Raw genomic sequence first — 22,932 nt, 5'->3', positions numbered from 1 at the left:
AAAAAGTGTTCTCAGATCCCCTAAATATTCAATAAATAGATTTGATGGATGTACCCTTCCTTGTATTGCTTTTAGACTCTTAGTAAAACCCTACTGGGCTGTTTTCTCCTTTTACACATACAGTTCAGCACTCAGTTAAAAGAATGTGAAGCCTGTATATATCATGGCCCAGCTTCTAGCTTGCCAGTGGCCTTGCTGGTTCTTATTAATGATTCATTTCTTTTGACAGGAGCAGCAACATTTCAGGACTTCTTGGGTGGAAGAAAGTTGGCAGAGAGAACGTCCACAGTGAGTAGTTAAACATTATATGAATTAATACCCCCCATCAATAGTTTAATGGATGAAATGCATTGATTTCTTTGAGAATTATGCTGAGGTCTACAGTAATAAGCAGAAATGTCTGATTTGACTTTTTTTTTTTTTTAAATATGTCTGCAACGTAATCTACTACCAATTACACAACAACCCCACCAAAGTAGTGCTGAGTGGTCCCACTACAGTAGTAACATGTTATAAAAGCTCAAGTTTCAGTACAATTAGCTTCTGGCTGCAGTTTATTACCCCATTTGAGATTTAAAACTTTTTTTTTTTCCATTGCATTCCAACAATGCTTATGTGTCTGGGGCTAACACTTTAAAACAATAATGGAATGGCAAATATCTGTCTGGCTGGAGTTTGCCCAAGAAGAATGGTGTATTAGAGTTTTTTTTTTTTTTTAATTCAAGCAAGGTAGAGGGGACAAAACAAAAACAACCTCTTTAATTACTCAAAGTGACCAAGGCTATAATGTTTTACTAAGAAAAAAAAGTGCCTTTCTTTGGCATTTTGTAGAAAATTTAAGAAACACTTTGGGGCATGCAATCATCCCTGTTTATCTGAAGGCAATTTCCACATGATGAAAAAGCAGTTCAGTTCATCGTTCAGATCCATCCACCTACTAAATGACTGTTCACGAGATGTCTGATCTGAGATAGATGATGAATCTCTCCTTGGATTGCCTAGTACTACACAAAATTGGTAGTCAGGTTTGAGTTTTTAAATTTTTTTTGTGGTGTTGATGATGACTAGAATTTACTGAGAGTCTGTTCTGTGGGCATATATCATGCTAAAGTTTATGTGCATCATCTTATTTAATTCTCCTAAAACCTGTTGAGTTAGGTACTATTATTTTCCCCATTTTATAGATGAGGAAACTGAGGCTTAGAAAGCCTAAGGAATTGAATGGTTGCACAGCTAAAAGTAGTGGGTCGTGACCGATGCTTTGGGAATCTACTTATGAGGCTTGAAACACTGTGCAGTGCTCCATGTTGATGATGATGATGTTGATGATGATGATGATGATGATGATGATGAAGATGATGAATGGAAAACCTGTGGAATCTTCTTGCTAATCTCCTGCATGTTTTTTAAATAACTCTCTCTTTCCTCCAGAAATCTAAGTCATTTTCTTACATGTCTCAGATGTCTGTTCCCTTTATTTTAATTTCCATTTGAATCTTTATTTTAATCATAACCTATTGTTTTCTCCTCCTATCCCTCAGACTGTGTAACCTCATACTTCCTCGTGGTTATTAGGAAACTGAGCAGGGTGGGGTGAAGCAGGGGGGTGAACTCTTTTTCAATAAGTGTTCATTGAGACAGTTTATTAGCAACACTCACTTTTAGTGAAGGATGGAGTTCTAGAGATGGAGGCATTGGTGAGATTGGAATCCAAGAGTTTACTTCCCTAGAGTCAATACACAATATCATTCTTTGATGCCTTTCTCAACTCAAGATATTTAAACTTCTAACATTAGATATTGTCAAGTCTAGAGAGCAACCCACATCAGTGTGACGTGTGTAAGGCTGCAGTGAAACATAAATTTTGGCATCAGAATGTACTGACATCACTAAAATCACCTTTTTTAATCCCTTGGAATAAAAAACATACTTGCTGTGTATTAAAATATTAATATACAGGCCGGGTACAGTGGCTCATGCCTATAATCCCAGCACTTGGGAGGCCAAGGTGGGCAGATCACGAGGTCAGGAGACCAAGACCACCTGCTAACATGATGAAACCCCGTCTCTACTAAAAATACAAAGCCAAAATATTAGCCAGGCGTGGTGGCACCCACCTGTAGTCCCAGCTACTTGGGAGGCTAAGACAGGAGAATCACTTGAAGCCAGGAGGCGGAGGTTGCAGTGAGTGGAGATCGTACCACTGCACTCCAGCTTTGGCGACAGAGCAAGACACTGTCTCAAAAAAAAATTAATATACAAAAAAATTACAAAGACAACCTATGCAAAAATCAATCTGGCAGAACCAAGGTGTGTTGGCTTGTAGTGCTTTTGCCACAGGAAAGGGTACAACTCTTTTTCTTTTTCTCGTATTCTTCTGAGGCTCTTTATAGCTCCTGGCATGTTGGCTTCCCACTCTGGGATGGCTTGAAAAGCAACTTGTCATTTTTCTTCATTTGGGTAATAATGTCCCGCAGCTAAGGTCAGCTTTGGTTCTGTTACTGCAGAGGGAACCACTTTGTTATATGGGTTTATCACTTCTGATGAGCTGCAATTGTGTCTTCAGCCTGAAATGTCATTCCTCATCTCTTGAGATTGGAACATGCCTACTTCAGGAGACATATCCAATGTCACCTCTTCCCTGTAGCTTTCCCTTCTCTCCTCTCTTACCTCAGGTGGAGTTGCTTTCTCATTTGTGCCCCCTAACACTTCATACATCATACTGAACTATAAATACTTCCTCTATGAGACTGTACTCACCTCATGGGACATTCTGGCTTACTCATTTCTTGTCTTTATCCATAGCACACAGTAAAATGTAAGGTACGTATTGGGTTTATGATCAGTGGTTCTTATCCTGCAATGAGGTTTTATGTCCCTGACTGTGTGCTCTATCCATCTAAAATCCTTACAGTTTATAATATCTACTATATATACAGAAAAGTAGATATCGACCCAGGAGCCGTGATGATTGATGATTATTTGTCATTGTTCTGCAACTACCTGGGCTTCAATTCTGTCATCTATAAAATCAGAGAAGTGAATTGAATTTCTTCTATTTTCATTTATTCATTAATAATTCAAGATATATTTGCCAAGTATCTGTTTTTCCCCCAAATATTGGACTAGGTAACTTCTTAAGCATAAAACATCACACAGTTTAGTTAAAATACAAAAAAAGTTTGCATTTGTGCAGAAAATAGAGTTACTATAATAATGCTGTCTTTATTAGCTGTGCTAGTAAAAGCACAAGTTGACTCAGTTTCAAATATAACTCGAATCAAGATAACAATATTTAGTTACTAAATCCCATGTATCCTTCAAACCATACAATTAGTATCAACTAATCCTGAAAAATCAGTTCCTTCAGTGATCACAGGTTAGGATTTCTGCGATCCATGCTGGCATTTGTTTTTCCTTCTTAAATCAGTCAGGATACTGATTTAATGTGTGTTTTGTAAAGTTGAGCAGAAGTAAAAAGTCTTTGAACTAAAGGAAATCTATGTATTTGTTCAACAGATATGTATTAAGTATGTAATATACCCCTAACATTCTGATATTTGCCCAAGATACAAAAATCAAAATGGGCCTCTGTCAATAAGGGGTTTATAAATTTACGAGCGAAACATGGATGTAAACATACCAGTATTGGAAGGACTCTGATGGAAGAATGTTTAAGTACAGTAATAGCTGGCCAGAAGAAATGTGCTCTTCTTAGTTTGGGGCTGGGTGAGCATAGGATGTTTGTCAGAAAAAAACAAATAAATAAATAAACAAATAAAAACCATTAAGGGCTTTCCTGAGGTCCAGTCTTGGTTTTACCCATCAGTAGGTGGCACTTGAGGTGAGTCTCAAAAACACCTGTGTATGTCACCAGAAAGACAAAACTGGGAGGAGGGAGACCATCTCAAGAAAATAAAGTAGGATGAGCATTATCAGAGGAATATATATCTACACAACTACAAATGCATCATCATGGCTAGAAAGAAAGAGACAACCGTAGTCTCAAGGAGACCTGTGGCTGGAGAGTAGACACTGGTGGGGGTACATAGCCTGTTGGCTAAGATGCAAAAGTAGCAACTTCACCCTGAATGTAGAGGGAAATCCAGGAGGGTCTTACGCAGTAGAGCAAGATGAGCACGTTTCAGAAACCATGGACAACTTTATGTGTGATCAGAAATATTTGCTAAATCTTGAAATCTGAACTTTGAACTCAGAAATGCTTGTGTTCTCTTCTATAGGCATTTTTGCCAACTGATTTTTTTTTTCAGTGAATGGAATTACAAACTCAAATATGATTATACTATAAGAATGAAAATAGGGATGAGATCTTTCATTCTATCAAAATCTACTTTCCACATCTAGGATTAGGCCCATATTAAATTACTTAAATTGACCTTTTTTTTTGAGACGGAGTCTCGTTCTGTTGCCCAGGCTGGAGTGCAGTAGTGCCATCTTGGCTCACTGCAACCTCTGCCTCCTGAGTTAAAGCGATTCTCCTGCCTCAGCCTCCCAAGTAGCTGGGATTACAGGTGCCTGCCACAATGCCCAGCTAAAATTTTTTTGTATTTTTAGTAGAGATGGGGTTTCACTATGTTGGCCAGACGGGTCTCGAACTCCTGACCTCAAGTGATCCATCAGCCTCGGCCTCCCAAAGTGCTGGGATTACAGGCATGAGCCACAGTGCCCAGCCATCTACTCTTTACCTCTAGAAGAAAGTGATCCAGTGGTCAGAGATCACCTCTCAGTGGAGTTCCCAGCACATCCTTGGGTTTTGGCTCCTCAGGCTTCCATTTATGATCTTGAAACAAAGAAGAAAATAAATAACTAAACCATGGAGATTGAGATGGTTTTAGTAAGAAAAATAAAAGTTGGTCCACCTAATTAGATTCAAGTGAAAATGCATCTATTGCTGATTTCTGAAATGCAAAACCACAGCTCTCAATCAAACACCTATAGTTATTTGATTAGCTATGTTTCAGGGGTTATTGATATATCAGTAGTACATAGGAAACACCTTAACTGAGAGTCATTCAGAACAAATACTGTCAACTCTATTGATCATTTTTTTTTGTGAGTGTAAGAAGTTGTAGCAGGCAAACAGTTGGAAAACTTTTGAATCATTCTTCAAGAGAAGAGAAAGAAAGAAAGAAAGAAAATGTCATCATTGGGACATGCAATAATTTCCTAACTGGTTTAGTACCTGAAATAGTTCCCTGTTCTAATCTATCCTTGCCATGTTACCTACAGAGCTTATCAACTTGAAGTCACACAAAAGCCAGGTGTGGTGGCTCACACCTATAATCCCAGCACTTTGGGAGGCCAAGGCAGGTGGATTGCTTGAGCCCAGGAGTTCCAGACCAGTGTGGGCTACATAGAAAAACCTTGTCTCTACAAAAATTACAAATATTAGACAGATGTGGTGGTGTGCACCTGTAGTGCCAGCTACTCAGGAGGCTGAGGTGGGAGGACTGCTTAAGCCCAGGAGGTGGAGGCTGCAGTGAGTCAGTGCACTCAAACCTGAGCAACACCACAAGACTCTGTCTCAAAAAAAAAAAAAGAAAAGAAAAGAAAAGAAAAAATTGAAGTTACACAAATCCCATTTTTAATCTTGGCTCTGCAAATTTCTCATGGAATGAGCCTCTGTTTTCCCATCTGCAAAACTGAAATAACTGCCTATTTTAGGAGAGGGGGAGATGTTGTAAGGATTAAATGGACACCCTTAGGTATGGGGTCTTGTGCTTTGTAGGTCTGCAACACAGTTAGAGTGAGGCAATGACACACTGTGGTTAATGTTTAACTTTTCAACTAAGCTTACTATTTATGGTTCTAAGCTAATTGCCCACAATAAGATAGATCCAGGTACAAAAACAATTTTGTTTCTAATAACTGAATTGTAATTAAACCTCCACTTGTTGAACATGCAACACTGTGAATATAAATCTTCTCAGAACATCCTGAAGCTCTAATGTTTAAGATGTACACATCATTGCTTGGGGACAATTTGATGGCTTCCAAAGAGGAAAGCTTTTCAGAAGTAGAAGAAAGCACTCCTAACAAAAGTGATCACCTCAGTAGCTGTCAAGGTAAACTGGCTTTGGTTTTGATGGATTACAGTGAATATCCCTTGCCCTTTACAAAACAATATGTATTTGTTATGAAGAAACAAACTGGATTAAAAAAATGGGATGATAATCCACTTGAAACTGGGAAAATCAGTTAATACAAGATTTTGAAAACAGATGACCAATAATTCTAATTTTTATTACGAGGTCCAAACCTGATTAAGTGGTGAACCTGATAAATCATGAACTAGTGCAACAGCTCTGAGTACCTGGACAGATATCCTCCAGAAGATCCCAGAGAGCAGAAAAGATTAGAGTATCTGGATCCTTCAGTATCTTCCTTTAAGTTCTGTTATTAACACCAACATGGAGTAGAAGCAGAAGTACATCATATTAAAGCAGTGTTTCTCAAACATTTTGGCCTCCAAGCCCCCTTACTCTCTGAAAAACCACTGTGACCCGAGGGCTTTTTGTTTATTGAGGTGCTGTCTAGTATAATATGTATTACATTAGAAATTAAAAGTGAGTAATTTTTTAAAATTATTAATACACTTACAACAGAAATATTTACATGGAAGACTAATGTATTTTTAATGAAAAATGACTATTTTTTTAAAAGAGAGAGAAGATGGCATTATTTTCCACTTTAATGTCTAGTTTAAAAGAAGAAAACTGAATTCTCATGTCTGCTTCTGAAATGTTTCTGTGTCTACAGTTTGTTTCGGTTGAATTATAGAAAGAAAATATGGATGTATAAATATGTGAATTTGTAAAGGGAAGAATAATTTAATACTCTGTCAGATGATTCTGGATATTTCTTCTTTGATGTTATACCAAAACTCCCTCAAAGTTAGTATCTTTAAAGTTTAGTTGGGATGTGGAGTGTGAAATAGTGTCAGTGGGCTTTTTGTACTCTGTTACATTAAAAATCTATCAGATGGGTCTTTTAGCCTTGCATGATTTTGTAACATCCTGCATCAGTTATTTGAAGAATAATAATTCACTAAGTTATGTGTATCTTCTGAACATGGACAGGTTTCATTATATTAAACAATCACCTCTGTTAATCTTAGCACCAATCATGCCAAAAAAGTCTTGAAATATTCGGAAACCATGCCCATGGTGATGGAAACAAGTTTTTCAAAATGCTCATTTTTGCTTGAAACTTATATTTCATCATGCACAACAAATGCTACCAGTTGTTTTCCTTGAAGTGACAGGTTTACTTCATTCATTTTTGAAAAATTGTCTGCCAAATACCCAACTCTGAATAATCATAATTTGTTAGCTTTTCTTTCAAGTAAAAATGATGTTTATATTTAAAAAGTGAGTAGTTAAGCTGACAACTCAGAGAATTGTAAAGCTGTATTTTTCCCTCTCTTTAGGTAGTCAGAGTACTTTATAAGTGCCTCCCATTTTATCACATAGATTATTTAAAAATACATCTATGCCAAATCCAGATTTAATAAAATTAATGATTCTTATTACTTCCTTAAAGATTTAAATGAAATTGGCTATCTTTAATGCCACTGACTTGATTCACACTTAAGATGCCAGTATTGTTTTTGTCCCATCAATACAAATGTTAACACAGAGGGGAAAGGCAAACGCTGTTTGTGTTATCATAAAGTATCGTTTTGATGTCTCAGACAACTCAAAGTGGCTTAGGCACCATGGACCCCAATTTGAGAACTGCTGTTTTAATTTGCAAAGCCATTGCGCAAAATTGCGTTATTTGTTCTTTACATCTGGCCATTTTATATATGATGATGGAGCACTAAGGGATATTTCAACACTTAGTGTATGTTAGGAACTTAAAAGTCTTCGTGCTATGAATGGAGTAAACTAGACATACCTAAAATCCGGGTCCCCTGGTGTATGGTCCTGTGTTCCTTCTATTAAAGATTTAATTTTTTCTAGATTTGGATGAACATTGGGAACCAACAGCAATGTGAAGGAGGAGCATCTAACCCTCTAATCTCTGCACTCTGCCACAACTCAACCAATTTGTATGGCAGGGAGTGATATTAGTTACCTTGACTTGTTACACTACAAAACTTTGTGGGGGTGATTTCAATTCAATTGGATTCAATCTACGCAGACTGTGTTCTCAGGAATAACCATTTCTTTACTGGAAGCTGGCCCAGTCACCTTCCTGTATGACCTCAGGCAACTCTCCTGAGAAAGGAGCTCTTTAAACTTTAAGTGAAGAAATATAACTCATCAAAGAAAACAGGAGTGAAACAACCAACCAGGAGGCAGATCTCCTTATTCCCAGGAGATGGCTGTTCACATAAAAACAATGCTTGCCAAGCCTTTGGCTGCTTCTGGAGTCCAAGGGCCACAAAATAAATGATCTACTGCTAGTTCAGCTCAGTCAGGACTGTAGAACATTCAGACTGTGGTAGGGTGGATTAGTGTATCCTTCTTCTATGAACACATGGAAAACTTAAGTTTCCAGGGAGGTGGTTTTGGCACCTTGAAGGAAAGGCAAATTAACTCAGGGAAAAGCTGATAGTGACTAACAATTCCTACAAAAGACTATTTTTATCCAGATCTGGTGAAACCATACTGGTCAGTCAAGAGAAGGACTGGCCCAATGACCCAATTACCACTCCGTGGGAAAACTGAAACCAGCCCTGGAAAATTGCATCAATATTATGACCTTTAATGGGCACCATTTTAAAAAATACCCATGGCTATCCTAAAAATTTTCCCTTTCTTTTTGAGTAACCACATACCGAGAGCCAGTTTCATTTTGAAAAATAATAATAACAATAATAAAGTTCTTTAAATCTCAGGAGAATCCCACCAAAAGTTCTGGTCTTAAAGGTTAATTAAGTAATTAATTAAGTGAGTGATTGTGCTCCTCCTCCTAACCCATAGCTTGGGCCCAGATGCCGATGAACTTCTCATTAGTTAATTTAATACCAGGTCAGCGAATCCATCCATATTTTCAGGTCAGAGCTTTCTTAGAAGTGCTTTTTTTTTTTTTTCTTTTTGGTATGCCGTGCATCTAAGTTCTCTAACAATTGCCGCTGCTCTTGACAGACGCCTTTAAATTTCTTTTTAGCTGCAAAAACATGCCACTGAAAAAGAGTGAGAAATTGCCAAATGGACTTGCCTCAATTTTAATGTGTATCTGTGGTCACAGCTCCAGAGCCACAAAGGGAAATTCATCTAATTAAAGGAGATGTAAATCTGGAAAGCACATGGATTGGCAATGAAAATTAATTAATCCATTTGTTCATTCAATCAACAGTTGTATAATAAATGCCTACTGCATCTTACCTACTGTGAGAATAAACTAACAAACAAAATGAGAGATGGCTTCAGTTCTCCAGGAATTTGGGGGCTAGAGTCACTCAATAAATGCTTGTTAATTTGATTTGACTAATTTGCTATATTCCAGGGATGAAGCCTTTGGTAGAGAAGTACAGCTGTCAGGAAAAATGTTCTAAGAAGAGTTTTGATTACTAGTATAATGGCAGAAACCCAATCATTTAGCTGTACACAGAGTAATTGAATATGAAATGTTGCTGAGAAATAAATTATTCAACTGAAATTTCAACTTGGAGTCTTCAGTTTGCTTAGCTTCCCTTCATCTTTTGTTGAAAGCCCTTATGGAGGCAAAGCTTTCATCAAGACGTAAGCCTTCATTCACACAGAGAATGTATAACGTTCTTGCCCTCTCTCCCATGGCTGATTAGAAGATACTAGAGCTTCTCAGACATCCTTGCACTCCCTTCCAGCTGCTTGTGTAAAGCCAGATCCTACAGCTGTTCACATTGTTTTCCCTTTCAATTCCACACCATCATTCTGATATATTTCTCTTTCACTGACTATCTTCTTCTCCCACAAGCCCCAGAATCCCTTCTGTTGAAGATATGTTTGTCTGGGCATGAAGGCAATGTGCTTGATTTCAGAGTATATAGTTTGAAGTATAAAGATTCTTTCAGAGTTTTTATCACAGTTCTTATTGTTGTGGTCTGTTTTCACAAGCCAATGTGGCCTTCTAATTCCTCAGCTATCTGCCTGCAATTGCAACAAACTTTGCTATTGGTCTTTGTGAATTGCAGAGGCCCAGCTAGAGATTCAATTCATACTCCCATCTGCTTACTAGCAGCACTTCTGAAAATTTTGCAACACAGCAGATTATTTCTATGAAATTAAGTACCTCTAGAGCTGACTTTTAAATATTTAATGTCGAAATTTCAAAAGCATTTTAATTATATCACAACTGTTTTATTCCCCTTCACCATCTAAAATGATTCAAATGTGCTAGGTTTTGCCTAGTTGTCCTTCCTGTTCAAAGTGAAGGGAAGCTACTTCTTAAATCATATTTTTTAGGGACGAAGGGAGGGGAGACCTCTTGTAGGTTACACAAATTCTCATGATGGTGGCTCAGAGGTTACTGAAACTCAGTTCCCCTATTGCCCCTTTCCCTTGTAGAAAAGTGAAAATAGTTTCATTGTTCATCAAAACCCTGGGTAATAGTTCTGTTGCCTTTGAGGGAGGCTCACCTGGGCCTGAGGCCATAACATGAGAGGGCAATACTCAAGCTATATCTATATGAGTCAAGACTAGTATTACTTGATCAGAAACAGTTTTCTCTTCATATATTACTTGTTCATTGTTACCCCAGATAATAGTTTAATGAGGAATAATAGTAATACAGATAAGAGATCTTTCCTTCTCTTCACACTAGTCAAAAGTTATGGTTTCAAGTTGCTTTTAAGGATCAAGAACATGTAGCATCAAAAACAATTCTGAGTGGTCAATGAGATTGAAAAAAAATTCTTACTCTGTAGACCTTACATTCCAGCAAAAGGAGGTTAGCAATAAATATGTAAACAAGTAAATATTAAAATAATGTCAACATGTTTTAGGAGAAAATAAAACAAGATAATAGAGTTCAAAGTAAGCAACAAGGAATTTTGATCAGAGTTAGTGAAAATTTTAGCTAGAAAGAGAAGGTGAAGAAATTTCCTTTGAGCAGTAATATTTGAGCTGGGAGAGCACTGAATGATGATGAGTGGGCACTAGATGTAGAAAATTTGAAGACAGAAGCTTTCTAGGAAGAAAGATGGTGAACACAGGGTCTTGAAGCTGGAAGATAAGTAGCAAGAAAGATGAAATGGCTGAAGAATAGTGAAAAGAGTGGAAAGCTTTTGGGAAAAGAGGTGGAAGAATGCAGACCTTCTAGATCATAGTATGGATTTGGGATATTTTGTTAATTGCAAAGGAGAACCATTGGTTCTTGAAGGACATATGAAATCCTGTGAAATTTCTTTCTATGCAGTCTTCCATGTTTTGCTTGTAAATTATCTTTTCTAATTAACTATCAGAAGTAACTCCAGCTTAGTAATACATCTGCTAGGTATGCTGTTTCTTCTTGGTTCTCAGTGTCTAGCTTACATTCTGGGAAGCCACTGGGCAAGTCTAGGATCCCAACCTGCAATCCACAGGCTCCATTTTTAGTTTTACATAAACCAATTTCAAGTAGCCAAAACTTTTAGCAAGCATACAAGCTTGCCATAGTAGGTACTGTGAGCCTACCTTTTTGTTTCCCATTTCCATTAGCATGAAAAAAAAGTTTAGTGAATATTTCTTATTTCAGAAAGGTGAAGATGAAGTCTAGTAATATTTGGCTGTTGCAAAGTTAGTGATATGTTCTCCTTAGAGTAAATCATGAGGAGGGGAGTTAGAGCACTGTCTCTGCCTCTTCCTCTTTCTTTATTTTAATTTTTGTTTTTGGTAATGAGATCATATCCTATCTCTGAATATCAGTAGCACATGGATTTGATGAAACATTGCTTTATTAACTGTCATGGACATTGCATTTACTATCTAGAATTCTTCAAATGGGAAATTATGCTGTTGTTAGTTAGGTTCTCCTGTTTACCATAATTACTGAACATTTATTGAGCACTGGATTCTATGCAGAACATCGTGCTGGGCATTGGGCCAGAAAAGAACAGGAGATCACATTCATCTGCAATAACATTACATTTATAAAATGTAGTTGCAATGTCAAGCATGCAAGAAGAACATGAGCTTCTCTTCCCTCAGCCTTCAATTCATTTACCTATTAATGAGCAAGTGGGTACAAAAGCACCAGGCATCTTCTTAGCTTTTTTCCATAATCCTCTACCAAGCTCCATTTCCCTACAAGCCAACCCTCAGAAGCCATTAATTACCAAACTAGCACTTTTGTTTGGTTTGTGTTGTTTCAGTATCACCTGAATTCTGCCTCTGTACCCTTAAAATTTGCTTCGATAAGAGGTTGGCAGCCCATCCTTGGGTACCACGAGGTCTACCATCAAAACCAATGTTTAGAATTTGTAGTTCACACTTGTTACTAAGTGTGATAAGATCTTCAACACCAGCCTTCTTAAAAATGTGTTGAGCTTACTTTAAGGTTTTTCCACTATGTATCTTCCCTTATCTAGCACTTTCTCTATCAATTTGATTCTAATAGCCCATGTTAAAAAAACTCAATGCCATTTATATTTACCGCCGTAATTTTGAAATGATAGAGCCCATATACTTTCTTAGGTACAATTATAAACCTATCATGAAAGACTAAGAAAAACAAACAAATGAAAACTCCTATTTTGTATTATACTGAACCAGTGGTTCTCAGCTTCAAGTGATTTTTGCCCCAGAGGGAATATTTTGCAACTAGAGACATTTTTGGTTACCACAGCTCGGGGTGGGAGTAAGAGACACCATTGGTAATGAGTGAGTAGAGACCAGGCTGGATGCTAAACTTCTTAAAGTGCAAGGACAACCTTTACAACATAGAATTATTTGCCTCAGACTGTTGTTAGTGCCTGGGTTGAGAAACCCTGTGTTAAACTCATCCCTAGGAATCTCACAGCCAATTTGGTTTTTACTTATTAATAGTTACAAGGCTTTAGTATGGAATATATATTTGTCATTGTGCTGAAATACTGAAATTTTATTAAGTGATTTGTTAAACATTTGATAAAGATTTTAAATATAATACTCTTTTGTGCTTATGTCACTTCAAGTATTCCTGGTTGCATTTCCAATATAATTTTGCTAGACTATAAAAATCATGTGTTTACTTCAAGACTGCTAAAAAAAAATCCATTGCCAAGTTAATAAAGTAGGCTAGTCTAAACACGTTTCGAAGATTTAAAGAAGCTATTGATCTTCTAATGAAAACTAATCACACTCTCATATTCACTGTGTATACAAGATTGCCACATTTCCATCGATCATTTTGCATGAGAAAGGCACCTCTGAGAATAAAGAACCAAATCAAATAGCAAGATCTATAGGATGAACTGCAAAACTTTACAGTATCTAAGTTTAAGCATTTTTCCAGTTTTATTTGCCATTTGAAGACAGAACAAACAAACTAACAAGAAATGATTACAACTTTGGTCTATCTCAAGCTCATTTGTAATTGCTATCATGAGAAAAAAAAAAAAGGAGGGTAAGAAAAGCGTCACCAGCCTTAAAGTATTTTACCAGGTATTGTTAATTAGATTGTTTTATGTTGCTCTTTTCAGTAAGTAAATAAATTTTGGGCATTAAATACCAGAAAGGATTAAACAGCATAATGTTTATTATATGAATGAGTTTGAGGGTTGGCTTTTCAGAAAGGTTGGATTACTTTAAAGGGAAAATTTTTCTTTATATGTAGCCCAGCAATAACCAAGGAGACTAAGAGACCTCTGACCAGGGTGGGGTTTTTTTTTGTTTTGTTTTGTTTTGTTTTTTGAGACAGAGTCTCACTCTTCTCACCCAGGCTGGAGTGCAATGGAGAGATCTCAGCTCACTGCAACCTCTGCCTCCTGGGTTCCAGCAATTCTCTGCCTCAGCCTCCCAAGTAGCTGGGATTACAGGCGCCCGCCACTATGCCCAGCTATTTTTTTTTTTTTTTTTTGTATTTTTAGTAGAGATGGGGTTTCACCATGTTGGCCAGGTTGGTCTCGAACTCCTGAGCTCAAGTGATTCACCTGCCTCAGCCTCCCAAAGTTCTGGGATTACAGGCGTGAGCCACCGTACCTGGGTAGGGTGCAAACATCTTGAGAAATGACCAGAAAAAGCATGATTTTGTTAATAATTTCTACCTTGTAGCACATTATGACTTACATCCTACGAGCACCTATTCTGGTCAGCATTTTCTCAGACTATGTAGAGGTCACCAGAAATAGAGCATAATGATACAGAAACGGTGGCATTCATGACTTAGTATTTACAACAAGCCATTTTCTCTGAGGCTGCTGCCAACCTCCTATGCGGATCTATTTTCCCAATAATTCTCCTTCCCTCAATGTATTGTTTGTGCTTGCTGGACTGGTTTGAAGTGTGAAGGTTAATATCCTGTATGTGTATGTAGAAAGACGTCCACACCACTACCTAGAGGTTGTTAATCATTACAATTGTTATTTTAACATTGAGACTATACTCTATCTCAGAAACTTGAACCTGCACGTGGGAAGCTGGCAACTACTGTTTCAGGACTGGACTATGTGACATTGTATTTCATGCAGTCAGGCCTGTTTCATGTCTGTGATGAAGCTATATGATCAGCTCTTTGAACTCTACTGTGCCGTCAATCTCTACATAGGACATAGGTTTGTGTAACAAATCTTTAACAAATTGGTTACCTGAATTGATTAAGTTCACCTCTAGTCATAAGATGTGTGTATGTTGCCAGCAGAAACAATAGCTTGATCCTGTTTCCTCAATAATTAATGCCAAAAAGAATTTTAAAAAGTCTTGGTATATTTCCAGCTAATCAGTGGGCTGGGGCAGGAGAATCGCTTAAACCTGGGAGGCGGGGGTTGCAGTGAGCTGAGATCTCGCCACTGCACTCCAGCCTGGGCAACAGAGCGAGAGTCTGTCTGAAAAAAAAATAAAAGAAAAAAAATCTTCGTATTAATTTTGTTAGAGTTTTTTTTTTTTTATTTCAGTAATTTTCATCCAAAGAGGTACATAACGTAGTTTCAGCAAAATGTTATCTCAAATTAATGTCTTATTCTTTTGATACCAAAAGTTATTTCAACATAAATATGTTATTTCACTAAGCTTTACCAAGTACCCAGGAGGCAGGGGTGTTGAAGGTGATTAGCAACTCTCAGTGCTTGGTCAAATATTCTTTGCACATAAGATATGTGCATATTCTTTTCGAAACTATTTTATTTTTAATTTTATTTTAAGTTCTGGGCTACATGTGCAGAACGTACAGGTTTGTTACATAGGTATACATGTGCCATGGTGGTTTGCTGCACCTATCAACTCGTCATCTAGGTTTTAAGCCCTATATGCATTAGGTATTTGTCCTAATGCTATCCCTTCCCTTTCCCCCCACCCCCCGAAAGGCCCCAGTGTGTGATGTTCCCCTCCCTGTGTCCATGTGTTCTCATTGTTCATTTCACACTTATAAGTGGGAACATGCAGTGTTTGGTTTTCTGTTCCTGTGTTAGTTTGCTGAGAATGATGGCTTATTTCCACTCTGTTTCTGAGAGAAGAGACATCTTCCCCGCTTCCTTCAGCCCCAATTCTTTAATCCCCTTTAATACTGACTGTTTCCTTGAACCTCATATACAGTCAAGCACTTAGTAGGAAACAAGCAATGTTGAATTTTTATATTCTATTCCAAGGAGAGGAATAAATTAAATAAATTAACTGACTAAATGAATAGAAGAAAGGGAGAGTTTGCTTGCTCACAAATGGTGACATCTTGGTTAAATTATTTTCAGTAGCATTATTAGGTGCTTTCCTTAGTAAAATAGAATTGTATAACTAAAAAAGCCATTGCCAATTTATAGATATAGATAAAATCTGGGCAAATGATAATCAATCTTCTACTATAAAAATGTAAGCAGAAAATAATATCTGATATAACATCTCAAGCCCAGAGTTCAGACCTGTGTCCCTTTTCCCAATGCTTTTCATGTCTGGGGTCACTCTGAGACAAGACAGCTACTCTGAGATACCAACTTGCTGACACATACCTGCAGACCACACATTAGTAATGGAGGTGGTTAAAATATCTGTAACTGGAAAATTGAAAATTCATTATGTAATACTAAAATACTGTTTCTGAATTTTCCTGAAATTTTACCACTCATGGTAAGGAGAATTCCAGACGTATGAAAAAAGGAAAGTGCTGGAAGAAATTCACCCTGTATCATTGTATGTGTGTGTGTTGGGGGGCGGGTGCGTGTTGTGCCTTTGGGGGATGCTTCAACCACCTCCTTCTGTGACACTTATATCTTGAATTTAACCATAACTGGGCTTATTAACAAAATAACATTGTAAAATACTTGCATTTTTTTTTCTTTTTACTATTGTTTAAGAAAAAGGCACTCTTGATACATAATAGTAAGGAGTGTTTGATGATTCAGAGTTTTCCAATAGTGATGGGGTTTGTGGGCATTGTAACTGTGGATAGAGCCTTCAGGGAGGAACTGTGTGGTCTATGGAAAGAGTAATAATAAGCCATCGGTGCTCTTAGAATACATGATCCCTAAAGGGAAGCATGACGTTATAATGGTATCATTGAGCTGTGATAGGAGAAAGAAGAATGGAGCAGCTACTTTTTTTTTTTTTTTTTTTTTTTTTTTTGAGATGGAGTCTCACTCCGTCGCCAGGCTGGAGTGCAGTGGCATGATCTCAGCTCACTGCAACTTCTGCCTCCTGGGTTCAAGTGATTCTACTGCCTCAGCCTCCAGAGTAGCTGGGACTACAGGTGCGTGCCACCATGCCCAGCTAATTTTTGTATTTTTAGTAGAGAAGGGGTTTTACCACGTTGTCCAGGATGGTCTCAATCTCTTGACCTTTAGATCCGCCCTCCTCCACCTCCCAAAGTGCTGGGATTACAAGCGTGAGCTACCACGCCCGGCCTGGAGCCGCTACTTTTTACTAGGAGCACAGAGTGTCACAAGCCTTTCAGATGAGTGCTCAGACCATAGGAACATTTTCTGCCTCCTGCTTGGGGCCAAGGATACGGTCTGGAAGCTGGATGTTATATACTGCTCTTTCAAATGCTAGCTCTTAAAGTGCAACAACTTATTTGTTGTCTACTTTGGAATGTGTACCATAAAACCTGTCTCAGAAGGAGAATTTTGATAAAGAGTGGACAAAAAGAAAGATTGGAGGTAATAATGGGCATTAAAAAAATGGCCAGCCCATTTTGTTCTGTAGCTTACAAAAATACACAAGAACAAACATGAACAGCAGACTCATATTAACGGCACTTCTCAAGTCCTTTGTAGGATGGAGGCCTCAAGAGTACGTTTTATCATTTATTTAAAAACAATATGAGTTTGGCAAAGCAAACTCAGATATAAAATTTAAGAATGAGTTTTTCTGGAGCATAAAATTACAATTTTTTTTTTTTTTTGCTAGTAGAAGGATAAAAAAAATGTCTATTCCAGTTAATTATTCTCCAACTTGTGATTTTTGTTGTTGTTGTTTGGCATGTAATAAATCCAACTCATTTTAGTGTAATGGGCTATAAAACAGTCCCTATATAATATTATAAATCCTGCAAAGATTTGAGCATCTGCACATTTTTTTTTGGCAATGTTCACTTAAACTCAAAACTTCTGTAGGCAGTGACCGAAAAAATAAATTGGAAAAATGAAAACCATTCAGTTCAATGCCAGTTTTCCCTTGGGATTTAAGCAGTTTTTTTTGTTTTTGTTTTTGTTTTTTTTTTTTTTTTTGAGACGGAGTCTCGCTCTGTCACCCAAGCTGGAGTGCAGTGGCGCGATCTTGGCTCACTGCAAGCTCCGCCTCCTGGGTTCACGCCATTCTCCTGCCTCAGCCTCCCGAGTAGCTGGGACTACAGGCGCCTGCCGCCACGCCTGGCTAATTTTTTGTATTTTTAGTAGAGACGGGGTTTCACCGTGTTAGCCAGGATGGTCTCGATCTCCTGACCTCGTAATCTGATGGCCTCGGCCTCCCAAAGTGCTGGGATTACAGGCATGAGCCACCGCGCCCAGCCGATTTAAGCAGTTTTTAACGTGTGGATTTCCAGGTGACAATGAAAAATGTAACGACTTTGGGAAATGGAATAACATATTCCTTAGGTAATATTACTAGGAAGACTGGAACAGTGAAATTAACTGCTAAACAGGTGATGGGATTATGACACCAATCCATCAGAATAACGTTTTGCCAAATTCTTTCCAGTGCCCTATTTGATCAGATCAGACTGTCAGGGCCCTGTGGAGTGAGCAAGCCCTCCCAGTGTGCCCAGGAAGACAGTTTTTCTGGAAGCAAAATATTTTAGAAGAACACCTGCTTTTCTCACCCAGAGTCTCTGTTGACTAAGATATGCAAAATGCACTCATCACTTGTAAGATACTAGAATTCCTCTCCTATATGGAACTAGTTATTTTGGTGTAATATAGTCCAGGAAAAATTTCTTTGCCTTCCAGATATTCATACCTTGGTCCAAAAGACTCTCTACTCATCTCAGCTCAAGTTAATGTTTTAACCGGGACATCTGAAAGTACCCTTCATACGTCACTTTCTGGCTTATGCTTAAGTGGAACAATGTTATATGTTATCTAGCGATTCCAACTGACAAAGGGGCTTTTGATGCAATGGAATGGATGAAGTGGATATTCTCACACCTTTCAAAGCCTCTCCTTGCTTTGATATAGCAGTACTCTTGGGAAGGGGCAGAGACTGGCAAAGATAATCCCCAGGATAATCAATTTTATTTCAGGTGTCACATAAAATGTTTATTATGTAAGCATATTACATTTGCTTGAAACAAAACCTACTGTCAAGAACCTGGACAATCCCCAGCTCCATGCAACTCACCTGGAAGGGCACACTCGGGGAGGTTACGGAAGGCAAAGTGCAACGTGCTGTTCCTAAGTCAGCTCACTGTTGAGGTATCCGTGCAATCCGGGGTTACAGCATGATCCACCGTGTACCAATTATGCCATTAGTATGCTTCATTTGCTATATACACACATCAGAACCAGAGTTTTTTCTCAAGGGCAAAACCCAAATCAGGCCGCCAAAGCCACAAATCACGTATGCCTTGCACTAAACACCCACAGAAAAGCGGGGCAGCATACACACATGTGCCTTTAGATATGTATTTATACTGCAGAAGCTAAAACAATGGTACAGATTGAAAATAGAAGGAGACCAAGCCAGCAAACAAGACCCTACATAGCCATCATCTGGGAAGCAAAATTGCACAGACACAATTAGAAACCAGACATGCAGTCTCACCCATTCACCTAGGAAGAGTTAACAAAACTTGAAAGGAATTGGTATTATGTCCTCATAATGTTGGCTTTGAGTTGGAGGTCTTTTTTCTAGACTGGTTTACTCTCTTCCTCTCTCTCTCTCTCTATATATATATTTTTTTTAATTAATTTTTTTTAATTAATTAATTTTTTTTTTTTTTGGCAGAGTCTCACTCTCACCCAGGCTGGAGTGCAGTGGCATGATTTTGGCTCACTGCACCCTTTGTTGCTCAGGTCCAAGCAGTTCTCCTCCCTCAGCCTCCTGAGTAGCTGGGATTACATGTGTGTGCCACCACACCCAGCTAATTTTTCTATATTTTCAGTAGAGACATGGTTTCACCCTGTTGGCGGGGCTGGTCTCGAACTCCTGACCTCAAGTCATCTGCCCGCCTTGGCCTTCCAAAGTGCTGGGATTACAGGTGTGATCCGCACCTGGCCTAACGCTCTTCTTTTTATCAGAGAACCAGTGCCTTTGAATACTCTATCTTACCATTTTACTAATAAGTCATCGAGTTCTTCAGTTGTGTTAGATTTTAAATGATTGAAATCATAAAGTTATGATGATATCATGAAGCTATATTCCTCACACAGATAAAAACCTGCAAGAAAAGGAAAGAGTTTGCTAAAGTGGAGTTTTAAGCATCAGTTAGTAGGTGAGGCAAGATTTATTTGGTCACGGGGATCTCCAGCACCTAAAAGCAAATTCCTAAGTCAGTGCCTAACCTGTCAACTTCACATTCTGAGGGTAAAGGTGCTACATTTGAGGAAGCCGTTTGGAACTTTTTCAGAGTTTCCGTTTTGTTAATTCAGATGCCCCTTGTTTTCTATTGAGTGAAGAAGGTGACAATAGGTGCGGAGTACAGTTTTTTTAAGATAATTGGCAGTATCTCTAAGACAAATTTAGTTCTGTAAAAGGAAGGTGGATTGCAAGAGGACACTTGTAAGATATCGAATCTCTTTTATCCTTCCAATCTTTATTGCCCTACTTGATCATGCTTTTATGAGTGGGTACTCTGGATTCAAATAACATAATTGCCAAGATACAAAATACATTTTGCTCAAAACATTTTAAAATGGCACAAACAGATTGGCACTGGTGTTACTGAAATGTAAGAAGCTCTACAATTTCCCAGTTCTAAGTCATTGACTGACACAATTCAAATTGACTAAGTGAAATTTGTGTGTTTGTGCGTGTGTGTTTTCCTACCAGCAACCACTCTGACTTGTGTCTCAAATCATTCTTTATGTGCATTACATATATATGTCTATAGTCAATAAATGACATCTAAATTATTAGAATAGTATCAGATATGACTAGATAGAATTATGTGATATGCCTCTTTGTAACAAAGCTGTGATTTATTAAAGATTATAGAATATTGTAACACAAAATTATGTATCCTTCTTAATAGCTGGTATTTATTGAGTGCTTACTATATGATAGGCATTGTTCTAAGTGTTTCATATGGATGGTCTCACTTCACCCTTAGAGCAGCCATGTGCCAGATGTGCAAATATTATCTCCTATTTTATAATTAAGAAAACTAAGGCTTAGAGAGGACATTTCCTCAAACTCAGTTTTAGTAAGTATAAGTATTGAACAAGAAACATTTATATTTCTAATCGATGTCTGAGTAAAAAAAATTAAAGATGCAATTTTAATCTATATATAAAGTGGTAATATAAAAATTTATTTCAGCAAATTAGGACACTCTACATTCAAATTTAAAAGTTATACTTACTAAATAGGGGTTCATTTTTTTAACATTCTTTTTTGTAGGAAATGAGACAAAGCACTCTTCTTATAAATAAAATATCAGATTTTAAAATTACTATTCTAGTTGACCTAGAAATATAGAGGTCAACTTTTAATAATTGAGGAATGGAGCTCAATTTAATGTTTCTTATGTCTAATTGGAAAATTGTGCAAACAGAAGAAGATGTACACATAGTAGGCACTTTATAACTGTCAGGTTATAAGGCTAATCGGCTGAAAATTGGGTCCAAATTATTTGCAATTAAATTTTGAGTCACTTGGGTCTGGCTGTTACTTTGAACAGATTAACTTTCCAACAGTACACATGCCCCTGGTCTCTAGCTGAGAACGTAAGAGGGAGAGGGTTATTGCACCCTCTAGGGGTAGCTTGTAGAAAAACCTACCGAAGTGCAACTACCCCAAACAAAAAAATAATGCTCATTCCTAGCCCCGCAGATAGGAAAGGAGGGAATGCATGAGCGTTGAGAGAAGCCACAGAGTCCTCCTGCCTCTGATGTGTGCCTCCACTGGCTCACACTTGGAACTGTTTCATCAGATGTCTTACAGGGACTCTAACTCTATCAAATCCAAAATCAATTTATTATTTAAAGGAAAAGTTTATAGCACACTATTAATTTTTAACTGCATGCTGTTTCTCTAGCCTTTCCATTCCAAAATAGCTGTTTATGGTGGCTGAATTTCTACCTTGGTTGGCAGGATTTATACAGTGACCTCTGCTGATCTGCTTCTGTATACTACGCAATGTCTGTAGCAGCTCCTCAAGTTAATATCACATGCTTCCCTGTAAAGAGCTTGACTGACTTACTGAGCATCAGGCTATCTTTTGAAGATAAACCAATTTTTAGGGAGAGACAAAAGATAGGATAAACTGATGATTGCATCAACGTCAATCAACAAAGAGTTATGAGTTGCTGAAAGTGAAGCATAGAGGCAAGTACTGAGAATAAAAACATATAGTTAGGCAAAAACCACAATTACTTTTGCACCCACCTACTATAAGGGAGTTCATACTTACTGCACAGGGTACATGTCAGGCTGTAGACTAAGGAAATTCTATTTAGTGCCTTATGTAGTTACTCACTATACCACCTAAGAGGTGTTTTATTATTCCCATTTTTTAGAGAATGTGAAAGCAATTCTGAAAAGACAAACATATTCAGAATCACACAGTCAGTAAATAGTAGAGAAAACATTAGATCATTGGTCTTTCTCTTTTTCTTATGCTCTTACTAACTACTATAACCTCTGTCTTCCAAGAAGGTATAACATAATTTGTAATAGTTGGAGAGAAAAAAATCATGTAAAAGAGAAGAGCATTAAGTATAAAGTTGGTAGCACCACTTAATTAAAGTACTACAAATTTGTGACAGGATAAAATAGAGCAGGAAGTGGGAGCTCACAGTGTGCTGGGGTGGGTGGGAGGGTCAGGGAAAAGAAAATTTGAATTAACATTTATGATGGCTGGAAAAATTAAATAGAATAGAGGAAATAAAATGATTTCAGAAAGATGAGGAAATGAAATAACATGAACTGTCCGGGCGTGGTGGCTCACGACTGTAATCCCAGCATTTTAGGAGGCCAAGGTGGGTGGATCACCTGAGGTCAAGAGTTAGAGACCAGCCCAGCCAATATTGCAAAACTCTGTCTCCACTAAAACTACAAAAATTAGCTGGGCATGGTGGTGAACACCTGTAATCCCAGCTACTCAGGAGGCTGAGACACCAGAATCTCTTGAGCCCAGGAGGCAGATGTTGCAGTGAGCTGAGATCATGACACTGCACTCCAGCTCTGAGCTACAGAATGAGACTCTGTCTTAAAAAAAAAAAAA

The 22,932-nt window shown here is 37.8% G+C and overlaps 9 annotated features.

Moving 5' to 3' along the window:
- Positions 1-1,080: part of a conserved region, noted in NCBI's record as "conserved region; CNE2", that runs on past the window's edge. NCBI's record gives the evidence for it as "COORDINATES:sequence alignment evidence [ECO:0000200][PMID:25604083]".
- Positions 1-2,474: part of a biological region, named in NCBI's record as "SOX9 testis enhancer F8", that runs on past the window's edge.
- Positions 598-2,474: an enhancer, noted in NCBI's record as "F8 fragment". NCBI's record gives its function as "enhancer in Sertoli cells in vitro" and the evidence as "EXISTENCE:reporter gene assay evidence [ECO:0000049][PMID:25604083]".
- Positions 7,794-11,124: an enhancer, noted in NCBI's record as "a3 fragment used in the reporter construct". NCBI's record gives its function as "activates a beta-globin minimal promoter in COS-7 monkey kidney cells cotransfected with SF1 and SOX9 {active_cell/tissue: COS-7(+SF1 and SOX9)}" and the evidence as "EXISTENCE:reporter gene assay evidence [ECO:0000049][PMID:30552336]".
- Positions 7,794-12,391: an enhancer, noted in NCBI's record as "a1 fragment used in the reporter construct". NCBI's record gives its function as "activates a beta-globin minimal promoter in COS-7 monkey kidney cells cotransfected with SF1 and SOX9 {active_cell/tissue: COS-7(+SF1 and SOX9)}" and the evidence as "EXISTENCE:reporter gene assay evidence [ECO:0000049][PMID:30552336]".
- Positions 9,341-10,854: an enhancer, noted in NCBI's record as "eSR-A fragment used in reporter constructs". NCBI's record gives its function as "activates a beta-globin minimal promoter in COS-7 monkey kidney cells, HEK293T human embryonic kidney cells, and TM3 Leydig and TM4 Sertoli testicular cells cotransfected with SOX9 alone or with both SF1 and SOX9, and synergizes with the eSR-B/RevSex and eALDI enhancers in COS-7 cells cotransfected with SOX9 and SF1 {active_cell/tissue: COS-7(+SOX9 or +SF1 and SOX9) | HEK293T(+SOX9 or +SF1 and SOX9) | TM3(+SOX9 or +SF1 and SOX9, or +SF1 and SRY) | TM4(+SOX9 or +SF1 and SOX9)}" and the evidence as "EXISTENCE:reporter gene assay evidence [ECO:0000049][PMID:30552336]".
- Positions 9,633-10,232: an enhancer, noted in NCBI's record as "a5 fragment used in the reporter construct". NCBI's record gives its function as "activates a beta-globin minimal promoter in COS-7 monkey kidney cells cotransfected with SF1 and SOX9 {active_cell/tissue: COS-7(+SF1 and SOX9)}" and the evidence as "EXISTENCE:reporter gene assay evidence [ECO:0000049][PMID:30552336]".
- Positions 10,046-10,049: a transcriptional cis regulatory region, noted in NCBI's record as "SOX9 motif bases mutated in the eSR-A deltaSOX9 and eSR-A deltaSOX9/deltaSF1-a reporter constructs". NCBI's record gives its function as "important for eSR-A enhancer activity in COS-7 monkey kidney cells cotransfected with SF1 and SOX9 {active_cell/tissue: COS-7(+SF1 and SOX9)}" and the evidence as "EXISTENCE:site-directed mutagenesis evidence [ECO:0005528][PMID:30552336]".
- Positions 10,510-10,513: a transcriptional cis regulatory region, noted in NCBI's record as "SF1-a motif bases deleted in the eSR-A deltaSF1-a and eSR-A deltaSOX9/deltaSF1-a reporter constructs". NCBI's record gives its function as "important for eSR-A enhancer activity in COS-7 monkey kidney cells cotransfected with SF1 and SOX9 {active_cell/tissue: COS-7(+SF1 and SOX9)}" and the evidence as "EXISTENCE:site-directed mutagenesis evidence [ECO:0005528][PMID:30552336]".

This window comes from Homo sapiens, chromosome 17, assembly GCF_000001405.40.
Source record: "Homo sapiens chromosome 17, GRCh38.p14 Primary Assembly".
Taxonomy (NCBI): Eukaryota; Metazoa; Chordata; class Mammalia; order Primates; family Hominidae; genus Homo; species Homo sapiens.
The sequence above is the reverse complement of the archived record's forward strand: the minus strand, read 5'-3'. Positions and strand labels throughout refer to the sequence as shown.